The sequence below is a fragment of the Homo sapiens genome, chromosome 5, assembly GCF_000001405.40.
Source record: "Homo sapiens chromosome 5, GRCh38.p14 Primary Assembly".
Taxonomy (NCBI): domain Eukaryota; kingdom Metazoa; phylum Chordata; class Mammalia; order Primates; family Hominidae; genus Homo; species Homo sapiens.
The window spans coordinates 39,283,170-39,295,722 of NC_000005.10; the positions used below are offsets into that span (position 1 = coordinate 39,283,170).

At 33.1% G+C, this 12,553-nt stretch overlaps 1 protein-coding gene across 1 annotated transcript in view, besides 1 other annotated feature; it reads right to left on the minus strand.

Moving 5' to 3' along the window:
* Nucleotides 1–165: a silencer, noted in NCBI's record as "fragment chr5:39283272-39283436 (GRCh37/hg19 assembly coordinates)". NCBI's record gives its function as "represses an EF-1alpha promoter that drives an FKBP-Casp9 reporter gene in an ReSE screen in K562 erythroleukemia cells {active_cell/tissue: K562}" and the evidence as "EXISTENCE:reporter gene assay evidence [ECO:0000049][PMID:32094911]".
* The window catches only part of C9 (complement C9), an 80,356-nt gene continuing 68,773 nt past the window's right edge, over nucleotides 971–12,553 (minus strand). The window contains exons 10-11 of the mRNA NM_001737.5: nucleotides 5,554–5,782; nucleotides 971–2,064 (exon numbers count right to left, since the gene is read on the minus strand). Of these exons, the coding sequence (NP_001728.1) occupies nucleotides 2,030–2,064; nucleotides 5,554–5,782 (264 nt within the window). The 3' untranslated portion in view covers nucleotides 971–2,029. The remainder of the gene's footprint in view (nucleotides 2,065–5,553; nucleotides 5,783–12,553) is intronic.

Below are 12,553 nucleotides of genomic sequence, written 5' to 3' on the forward strand. Positions count from 1 at the left end.
TCTAACTTCTTTTGATACTGGCTTCTTTCGATAGTGATTTAGTATAACGATCCAACTTTCTGGACTGGGCTTCACAGGGCTGTTGTTTTCACCTGTCCTTTTCCTTGAATTGGTGGTGCACCCCCTCAGAGAGCATGTGGAGTAGGGGGCACCTATAATGCACTCCATTTGGGCAAACTAAGCTACATCTGCTCTCTCCAAACAACAGTCCACGCTGACACATGCTAGGCCTAGTGGGTCCTCATCTTTCCCGGTTTCTAGAGATTCTCCTTTAGTTTAGGCCTGGAGACTTTCTGCTCTGTGTTGATTACTGTTGAGCAGTTTCTGGTGTCTCAATAGTGCTCCCTGCTGGAGATGCTCTATCATCAGATATACCACCTTTGGCAAGAAGTCGGAGGACTCTCCATCAAGTGTGAACCTGGGCTGTTCCTGCTATTCATTACCCTAGAAAGGACTCTGATAAATCATTAAGCTAGCCCTAGGGGGTCTGGTCAAGGCTCAGCTCTTTTATTGTTTGACATTTGTAATTCCTAAGGGTGGAAGGAATTCTCAGGTGTTACTCTAATAACAGCCTTGAGCCAGATGCTCTCCATCAAAAACTCTCTCAATAGTGGATTGTTCAAGAACAGAGTTCAGTATTTATACACATTTAACAAATCTTACTCCTCTCTAATTCACACAGTGTTTTGAAGGGCAGGGGACAGAACTTCTCTGGAGCTCCCAGGGCAAATGCAAGACTCTTAAGGGCCAGGGCACATTTATTAGTATGATCTCCATATCATACCTAACATATTAAAATACATCCCACATCCAGTAATCTTTTTATTTGCTATTTAAAAACAATTTTGAAAATTATTTTTAAAAATTTTGCTTTTGAAATTATTTTCATGTAGGTAATTTAGTTACTGTTATCTCCCAGCAATCAAATGCATTCTTGTGAATTTCTGCCAAGTGAGAGAAAGTAACATAATTTATTTATAAATGTGTGAAATGTTTATTAATAGTAACAATAAAGTTAACATGATACATACTGATGTTTAAGCATTTATTAATTCTCATTTTGCATTTTTTTATTTTGATATATTTTTCCTCTTTTCTTTCTTTCTTTCCTTTTTTTAAAGAGTTCTCAGACCTTTCAAAAGGTCTCAGACCCTAAGCACCATGTTCTCTAATGAATAAGATTGTACAACCAATGTTAATCAGCTTCTCAGGTAGGTAACCTTACCTTATACAACTCATAAGGCTAGGTATTAAGTTGGACTATATAAAATTGATGTTTTTTCTTGTAAAATATGATCAAATAGAAGGAATTTCACATAATTTAAACTAATAGTTTATGTTCATTCTATTCTGCTACTGAACACTATCTATATTATTCCTTTCATCTAACTGGATTTTTGTACCCATTAACCAACTCCTCTTTATCTCCCTTCAGTCCTCTGGTAAACTAGTAGTTTTTGGTTACAAATATAATATGTTTTCCCCCTTGGACACATGGATTTAAATCGTAGAGCTAAGACTAGTAAAAGCAACTGCTGTGCACGTGGCTGGTGCTCAGCATTTGCTGAATGAATGTATGCACACCTAAGCAAATAACCAAACTAAACATAACAATGTAAATAAGAGTTAAATTGCATGGTACAGACGTGTGGTCATGGACCTGGCAGAATATGTTAACCATACAAAGCCGTTTGAAAATTACTTTGAAGTTTTTTAAACCAACATTCTGTTTTTAATTTAATTTTGTTTTTTTTTAGAAGAGATTGGCATTTTCCGTGGGATAAAGCAGTTCTGGCGTATTTCACTGTTGACTTCTCATTAGGGAACAAAAAATGGAAACATCACAGGAGTTTAAGGAAGAAAAATTTAAAAAAAAATTATAGACCTAAGAGAGAAGAGACTTCAGAGGTTGGTAGGATTTTCATGAAGCATGTTGCTATTTACTTGGCAGCTAAGATTATCTTCAGGGGTAGGATCTGAAGGTACTAGTGTTTTCTTCTTCCACTGGAGCTCAGAGAAGCCAACAGCTCTATTTTTCATTGGGGAACTCTAGGGCTGGCAATCCTAGAGAAAACAAATAAGTATCAAATCTTAATCATCAATAGGATTTTACTTTGGGTCCATCCACCCATCCGCTTTTTCACCTTCTTATCCTCTTGCACCACGTTGTGCCATACTGTCTAGGTACTGGGAATAGAATGTGGTGTAAGGTACAAGGCACATTTTCATACCAGAAAGGGCTATTTGTCTTGTATACAGAGAGTCAATGTGATTAGTGCTGGAAAAACAGAGGGAAAGTTCTCAGGCAGCATAGATAGAGAACTGATTCCTGGAGAAATTGGAGAAGGTTTCATCAAAGATATGCTAATTGGACTGGGTTCAAAATAGAGGTTTTTAACCCTGGCTAAAGATTAGAATAACCAGTAGATTTTTTAAAAATTCAAAAAACAAAAAACCCATGCCCAGGCAGGATCTACCATGGCTGCTTTTGTTTAATTGGCTTAGGATAGACATCTGTTTTGTTTTGTTTCTTTTTTTTTTTTTCCTTTAAGGAAGTGAGCCAGATGAATCCAATGACCAACCTGGTTGAGAGCCATTGGTCTAGGAGTAGAAACGCACACAAGGAATAAGGGAGAAGGAGGTTCGGTTAGTTGAGGGAGAGAAAGTTGGAAGCATTTCAAGCTAAGTAAATGGTATAGAAAAAGAAAGATGATGTGTTACGGTTTTCAATCTCATCATGGGTGTAAGCTAGTGTAAATTGGAAACTAGAACATTCTATGTCAACATGGATGCTTGGAAGATCTACCTTGAGGGAAAAATTCAACAAGAAAATGTCTAATGTCTCAGCAAGAAGCTGTGGGCCATCCTGGGTCAGGTTTGAAAGGTCAACCAAACAATGCCTAGTGATCAAAGATAATTTTATATTGGGGAAGGGACCTTGATATTCATTATCTATGAAACACAACATATGGAACCCGAACCAAGAACTTTACATAAAAATCTAGTGCAAGACTGATGAAAATGATAGGACCTCCTAAGAAACAAACTAACCCTAAGAATATGTTCATTATCCAGGGAAGACGGGTTTCCACAGGAAATAATTCCCACCAAAAACTAAGCCTGTAATAAAAAATCACTAAGTACTGAAGAAAGCATAATATGCCATGAGAATGAATTGGTAGACTTAGCAGAGAATTGCACTGCAGAAACAATATATACTGGAACAATTTGAAAGAATTCCGTGAAGATATATTTAACATGTTGAAAGCTATAAAGGTAGGAAAATAATCCAGTAGACTAGACAACAGAAAAAACTAGACAAAAGAAAATTGAAAAAGAACCAAATCAAAATTTTAGAAAAATACTTTTAAAATAATCTCAATAGGTCAGCAAATGGATCGACTATACAAAGTTGAATAAAATAATTGGAAAATTAAAAGCTAGAACTAAAGAAATCACAGAGAAATCAGCAGAATATTCTACATAGAGAGAAATAGGTAGAAAATAGACGTTCCAAGTACCAAGTAGTATACATTTTTGGAGAGTGAGAGTTTTTTTTGGAACGCAAAGCACTAGATTGAGACTTTAGACCGATGAGAGACAGAGTTAGCATACATTTATAAATCAATCATTCTAAAATTTAAATTAAATTCTAACTTACATATTTTGTCACCACATGATTGAGTTTCTAAGCCATTTGCTGAGAAGTGTAAAAAATTCATAAAATATTAAAAATTTATATTGTAAGAGATGAAAATATGGTTGAATGATAAACGAGGCTGTGAACTTTGGCTACATAATTGTTTTAGAATTTTGTTTCAGGAAACTGTATTTGTTCAAACAATGATTGCCATAGAAAGTTAATCTTAATAGCTAATCTTGTGATATTAACACTTGGACTAAGATCTCACTAATCTATTAGGAGTCTGAATAATTCTACCAGAATGAAATACTAAGCATAAACTCTTAGGATTAGAAACATGACTAAAGTCATGTTTACTTGTAGGAAGTAAAATAGTTTAATTGAGTCCTATTTGTCTATTTTTGTTTTTATTGCATTTGCTTTTGAGGTTTTAGTTATAAATTATTTGTCTAGGCCAATGTCCAGGAGAGTTTTTCCTAGATTTTCCTCTAGGATTTTTATAGTTTCAGATCTTACATGTAAGTCTTTAATCTATCTCAAGTTAATTTTTGTATATGGTAAGAGAATAGAGATGATTTCTCAAAAAATTAAAAATAGGACTACCACTCAACAGTCCCACTACTGGGTATCTACCGAGAGGAAAATAATCTTTATATGAAAAAGATGCCTGCACACATATGTTTACTGCAGCACATATTTTGATGTGCAATAGCACATATTTACAATACATATTTACAATAGCAAAGTCATGGAATCAACTTTCATGTCCATCAATGGATGATTGGATAAAGAAAATGTGGTACATATGTACCATAGAATATTATTCAACCATGAAAGAGAATGAAATCATGTCTTTTGGAGCAACATGGTTGGAGCTGGAGGTCATTATCCTAAGTGAAATAACCCAGAAATAGAAAATCAAATACCACATGTTCTCGCTTATAAGTGGGAGCTGAACAATGGGTATGTATGGACATAAAGAAGGAAATAATAGACAGTGGGGACTCCAAAAATGGCGAGGATGGGAGGGGGATGAGGGTTGAAAAATTACCTGTTGGGTACAATGTTCACTATTTGGGTGATGCGTACACCAGAGGCCCAAAGCTTATCATTATGCAATATATCCTTGTAACAAACCTTCACATGTACCCTTTAAATTCATAATAAAAATATTTTTAATGTAAAATAATGTTTCCTTATGATTAACTTAAAAATACAATACAGAATCTCAGCTTTCAAAAACACAAATACAGTTAAAAATGCAAAATAAAAATCTAGTGAATATCATTTATATAAAATTTAAAAACATACAAAACAATATCACATATTTTTCATTGGTACATACATATTTAGTACAAGCACAAAAATATGAACTGGAAAGATACATACCAACTTAATGAAAGTGACTGTATCTGAGTAGTAGAAGAGAGAAAAGGCAATAGAATTTTTTTGGGGGGCGGGGATGTGGTACAAAGTAATTAATTGGATGTATTATTGTTGCTTCTTAAAAAAGGGTTTTAAAGTATATATGTCTACGTCTATACACATAAACACATATATATGCAAAGTGTATATGATATATATGTATTAACATTCATCAATTCTATATAGTGAATACCTGATGTTTGTTGTATTTCTGTAAACCTTCTATAAGAATATTTTTATAAAGAGTAATACAATAATTATAATTTATTTATTTATAATTCTATCTTAATATATACAAGTAGAATATGTCAGAATGACACATAAAGGCTGATTTACCCATTTTCACTATTCACTCAATCTTTATCTTCTGTTTATATAAATAATCTAGAGATTTAGTACAAATTAATTCAAGAGCTAGTTTTCAAATTAGATAACCCCAAAGTGCATATTTTTGTCTTTAATCACATCAAATAAATTGTCCTCACCTTCAGAAATTTTTTGTTTACTGATTTCACAGGCAATTCCCTCAAATTTGAATGGGCAGGCACACAAACACTTTCCATCCATTAGAATCACTGTACCTCCATTTTGGCATGTGTGGCATTTTCTTACACTAAATTCATTGATATAGTCTTCAATGGCTCTTTCCAAGTTTTGTTTCTTTAGGTGTGCATTTTTCATTTTCACTGGAACCAGATTATATATAGGAGACAGCTGAAAGGAAGCAAAACATTTAATTTTAGGTCCTTTTTAACTGAGAGAACTTGTAGAATACACTTTACTTAATTATTCATTCACTGATTCATTAATTCAACAAAGACTTATTGAATGTATAGTATTGCCAGATGTGATGTTAGCTTTTAAACAATCAAAACTAGTCAAGATGACTGCTATCAGGGAGGTCATATTACGGAGTTAAGGAGGCTGATATTAATAAAATAATGATGCATAAATTTCAAATAGAAAGTGTGATAGGTGCTACAAAAAAAAAACAGGTATATGTGCTTTAAAAATGAACAACTGAGGGACTTAAACTTCTGGCTTGATAATTTATTGACATATTTTGTGAATTGTTTTTGCTGCCTTCTTCCTTCTCTTCCAGAAGGTAACCAGATGCTTGCTATCTCTTGCCTAAGAGGAGGTTTGTGTGCAAGGCCAAGTCCAGAATGCCCCTGAAGGCAACCTTTTTCTAATTTCTTTCTTGTTTTTTTTTTCCTCTAAAAGTCTAAATTCATTGAGAAATTTTTGTAGAGGGAAGGAATATAGAAGAATGCCACCAAGGAAAGAGATTCCTCCAGAATAGAAAGGGGATAGAAGTTAGTATATACCTCAAGTAACAGGAAACCATAGCTAGATATTTAGCAGCTATTTTGGGAGATAGAAGGACCTATGGGGTGCCTTGAGGAAGCTGCATATGAAGTATCAGGAATCCAGTCTTGTCAGTGATTTCCATTTGCAAGCCTGGCATGGAGGGCTTGGAAATATTTGACTTCTAGTGAACATGTGAGCCTGAACAATAAGGTTATTGAGGTAACTACGATGAACTAAAGGCATATGTAAATTATATCTCCATTTCCCAGATGGAAGTGTTAGGATTCTTATACCAATTTAGACAGCAGGGAAAAAATTTCCTGAGCCCCATCCAACAAGTAAATGAAAGGTGAATTTTCTAGCAACATGGAGGGACATGATCTCAAAATCACATTTAATTAGATGTAAAGAAAATGAAGTAAAAGTATTTATTTGGCACACTCAAATTCCTGCAGTAAGATACACAGTTGCTACACTGAAATCAAGGAAGTTTGGAAAGCTTTGACAATAAATACTGAGCTGAGATTTGAAGGTGTCAAGGCAGAGAGAAGACTATTTCAGGCATACAGTAAAGAATTTTGAAAGTTTTTAAATGGAGGAGGAAGTTGGGAAGATGTTGTTCCAAAGATACAAAATTGTAGTTAGATAGAAGGGGTAAGTTCAGAAGATCTATTGTGCAGCTTGATGATCATAGAAAAAAATTAAAAAGTTCTTATAATGGAGATATCATAACATATACAGGGAAATTTATATGTTCACTTAATTTAAGCAAATTCAATTGTGTAACTAGCAAGAGCTGTTTGAGTGAATAAACTGTTAGAAATAGAGGCACTTTGGTGGCAGAGCACTTTAAAACAAGAGACCACAAAACTTAAAAGAAATGAGAATCTATAGAGCCCAGAGCTAAAACAAACAAACAAACAAACAAACAAAAACAAAAAACAAACCAAAAAAACCCCACAAATTCCTGCAGAAGAATAATGATGGATTAAATAATGTGGACTCATCTTTTCCCTAAGGACAATGAGGAAAGCTAAACAAAATAAAACCAAACATTTTTTTTTAAAACTGCTAAAATGCCCTGGACAACTAATAAGAAAATAAAAAATCACTGATCTAAGATCTGGGAGGAGGTGGAAATCCAAGAGGTGGGCCCAGTATTCTAGGGCTACTAGTCCTCTTGACACATTTCCTAATTCAGCAAGAGTTAGTAGAGAGACTAGGAGGTAGAGCAACACATTACTGAGCTGAGGAAAAAACACTGGAATTCAGATCAACCAAGGTAGACATGCTATCCTTTGATTTGGGGACTAAGAGGGAAGTGGAAGTAGGATAGCTCTGGCAGAAACTGCAGCCCAGTTTGGATTAAAATAATCTTGGATCATTAGTGGGGATGCTGGAAGCTTTTCAAATATAAATATATATGTTTGAAATATACAAAATTACCCCAGGCATCAGGCTACTCCTATAATAATTTTACGTACAGTATTTAGCCCACAGTAAAAATAACTAGGCACACAAGGAAATAACACAACATGAATGAGACCAGTGGAAATTATGGAAAATAGAAACAGCTATGGTGGCTGCCAATGTTTGTGCTATCAGACTTCAAACAATTATCAGACTTTAAACCAACTGTTTGCATAAACAGGGAGATAAGAGACAAGTCTGAAAATTTTAGCAAAGAACTGGAAGTTATTAAAAATAGATTTGAAAAAAAGAAACAAATATTAGAATACAAATTAGTGAATTAGTTAAATAGCAAATGTGATAAAACTGAAGCAATTTAATGAATTGCAATATAGGTAAGAAGAAAATATTGACAATAAAGCATGAAGAGACAAAAGGATAGGATATACAGAAAGAGGGAAGGAAACATAAGTGATAGTGTGGGAAGGGAAAAGATCCATATATTTTGAGCCCCAGAAGGAGAACAAAGGACAGAATAAATAAGAAGCAATATTTGAAAAACTAATGACTGAGAATATTCCAGACCTGGTGAAAAACAACAAGATATCTTATGAATAAAAACTACGGTGAAAAATAATTTTGCAGCTAGGTATTATCAGAGAAAAATTGCTAAAAAAACAAAACCCAAAGACAATGGAGAAAATCTTAAAAACAGTTTAGTAAAAAGCCTTAGTATTTTGAAAGTAGACTAAATTTGACTTTACTAGATACAATCAATAATATTATAAAGAGTCAAATGGAAATGTAAAAAATAAAAAGCATGATAAAAGAGATGAAAAATATCTTTGATGAGTTTGTCAGTAGATTTGACACAGCAAAAGAAAGAATCAGTAAACTTGATAAAAGGGTGGTAGAAATTAGCCAAATTAAAGTGCAAAGAGATAAAAGAATTGAAGGGAGGGAACCCAGAACTAAGCATCCAAGAGTGTGGGGCAATATGAAAGAGACTAGCACATGTGTTACTGGAATCCTTGAAAAAAGTGAAGAGGTTATAAGAAGGGGTTGAGAGGGGGAGAGAAAGAGAATGTGATTGTGGCAGAAGAAATATTTGAAGATATAATGACCAAGAATTTTTCAAAAGTAATTAAATAATCAAACCATAGACTCCAGAAATTTAGGGAACTTCAAGCAGAATAAATATACATCTCATTCAAACTGTGGAAAACCAAAGATTAAAATGAAATCTTCAAGGCGATGACAACAAAGGGAAATGCTACAAGCAGAAGGTCAAAGATAAGAGTTACAGCATACTGCTTATTTAAAAACTATGCAAGCCAGAAGACAAAGGGGTAATATCTTTAAGTACTGAAAGACAAAAACAAAACAAAACAAAAAAAAATCCACACAAACTGTAAACATAGAATTTTATACCTAATGAAATGTCATTGAAAAAAATACTTTTTTTTTCAGAGAAGAAAAAGCCAAGAGAGTTTGATACTAGCTAATGCACACTAAAAGAAATGCCAAAGGAAATTTTTCAGGCAGAAGAATTACCACAAAGAACTAAAATTTGGACCTACATAAAGTAATCATGAGCTCTGAGCATAACTAAAATGAAGGCAAAAATATACCTTTCTAGTTTTAATTGCTCTAACATATATTATCTACAGCAAATGTTGTCGCATTGTAGTATGAGTTTATAGTGTATGTAAAAATTTAAAAATATGTATGTAAAATATACATACACTATAAACTCATGATACAATATGATAAAAATAGCATTAAAAATGGGAGGGAGGATTTGGAAATATAGTGTATTTGTTTTACACTATACATAAGGCAGCATAATATCATTTGAAGGCAGACTATGATAAATTAAGGATGTATATTGTGAATCATATGTTATAGAGTAAAAAATATTTTTTAAAAGAGACATGAGTAATATATCAATACTGGAAATAAAATGGAATCATATAACATACTGAATAAAAAAGAATAGTCAGGACAAGAAAGGAACAATGTAATGAATAAACAAGATTTAACTGAAATGTTAAAGGGAGAGTGCTGGAGTTCAGGGGGAAGCAGAAAGGCATCTCTGGTGGTTGGAAGGCCAGGGGGTCTTACATGCCCAGATTACTACAGAAAGCCATTCAACTGCAAAGATAAACAACTAGGAAGGAAAAAAGAAACAAAAGATATTCAGAATAACCAGAAAACAATCAATAAAAAGACAGGAATAAGTCCTCACCTATCAATAATAACCTTGAAGGTAAATACATTAAATTCCCCATTTAAGAGATATAGATAGCCTAAATGGACAAAAAGAAATAATAGCCAACTATATGTTCCCTATAAGAAACTCACTTCACCTGTAAAGACATACATAGATGGGATGTGAAGGATGGAAAAAGATATTTCATGCAAAGGTAAACCAAAAGCAAGCAAGAGTAGCTATGCTTATATCAGACAAAGCAGACTTCAAGTCAAAAACTGTAAAAAGGAGAAAAATAATAACATTATATAATAATAAAGGGATCAATTCAGCAAGAAAATATAACAATTTTAAATATATATGCAACCAACACTGGAGCACCCAGATACATAAAGCAAATATTAGATCTAAAGTGAAACAACAAAATAATATTTGGGTACTTCAACATTTCACTGTCAGCGTTGGAGAGATTATCTAAACAGAAAAATCAAAAATCCAAGAACACAGGATTTAAGCTGCACCATAGACCAAATGAACCTAACAGACATTTACAGAACTTTTTGCCCAAGAGCTGCAGAGGGCACATTCTTTTAATCAGTGCGTGGAACATTTTCCAAGATTAATCATATGTTAGAAAACATAACAAGTCTCGAAAAAATTTTACAAATTGAAATTATATTAAATACCTTCTAAGACCACATGGAATAAAACCAGAAGTCAATAATCAGGGAAACTTTGGAAACTGTACAAATACATGGAAATTAAACAATATGCTCCTGAATGACCATTAAATCAATTAAGAGATTAAGAAGGAAATGTTTTAAATTTCTTGAAATAAATGAAAATAGAAACAGAACATACCAAAACTGACGATACACAGAAAAGGCAGTAGTAAGAGGGAAGTTTATAGAAACCAATGTCTACTTCAAAAATCTAGAAAATTTTCAAATAAACATCTTAATGATACATTTCAAGGAGCTAGAAAAGCAAGAACAACCCAAACCCCAAAATAGTAGAAGGAAAGAGATAATAATGATCGGAGCAGAAATAAACGAAATTGAGACTGAAAACATATACAAAGGATTAATGAAACAAAAAGTTGATTAAAGGTTTTTATTTTAAAAGAAAGACAAAATAAACAAACAATAGCTAGACTAAGAAAAAGAAAAAAGAAGCCCCAAATAAATAAAATCAGATACAAAAATAGAGATATCACAACAGATACCACAGAAACACAAAGGGTCATTAGATACTGCTATGAACAACTATAAACCAATAAATGTAAAAACTTAGAGAAAATGGATAAATTTCTAGACACATACAACCTCTCGAGTTTGAACCAAGAATAAATAGAATACCTGAATAGCCTAATAATAAGTAAAGAGATTGAAGTTGTAATAAAAAGTCTTTCAACAAAGAAAGGTCCAGGACCAGATGGCTTCAATGTTGCATTCTACCAAATCTTTAAACAAGAATTAACACTAATTCTTCTCAAAAATTTTTTTAAAGACTGAAATGAAGGGAACTCTTCCTAACTCATTTTATGAGACCAGCATAACCCTGATATCAAAACCAGACAAGGACACAACACACAAAAAAACCCATAGACCAATATCCCCAATGAACATAGATGCAGAAGTCCTCTACAAAATATTAGCAAACTGATGGCAACAATACATCAAAAAGATAATACAGCATGATCAAGTGGGCATGAATTATCCGAGAAATAGTTCAACATATGGAAATCAATAAATGAGAAACATCACATCAGCAAAATTATGAACAGAAACCATGTGATCATCTCAATAGATGCAGAAAAACCATTGGATAAAATTTAACTTCTCTTTGTGATACAAATTCTCGATAAATTAGGTATAGAATAAAAGTAATTAAACACAATAAAGGCCATATATGACAAACCCACAGCCAACATAATACTGAATGAGAAAAAGCAGAAAGCTCTCCCTCTAAGAACTGAAACAAAGATGCCCACTCTCACCACTCTTATTTAACATAGTACTGGAAATCCGAGCCAGAGCACTTAGGCAAGAGAAAGAAATAAAGGACACCTAAATTGGAAAAGAGGAAGTTAAATTGTCCCTGTTTGCAGAAGACATGATCTTATATGTAGAAAATCCTAAAGACTTTACCAAAATACACTTAGAACTGACAATCGACTTTAGTAAATCTGCAGAATATAAAATCAACATGCAAGAATCAGTAACATTTCTATTAAAGAACAACAAACTAGGCCAAAAAAGAATGCAAAAAGTCAATACCATTTACAATAGCTACAAAAGAAGATACTGAGGAATAAATTTAACCAAAGATGTAAAAGAAAAACTATGAAACACTATTGAAAGAAATGGAAGAGGATACAAACAAATGGAAAGAAATCCCATGCTCCAGGCTTCGGCCTTACTACCAAAAACAATCTACAGATTCAGTGCAATCTCTATCAAAATGACAATGACATTCCTCACAGAAATTGAAAAAAAAATCTTAAAATTTGTGTAGAACCACAAAGACCTCAAATAGCCAAAGCAATCTTA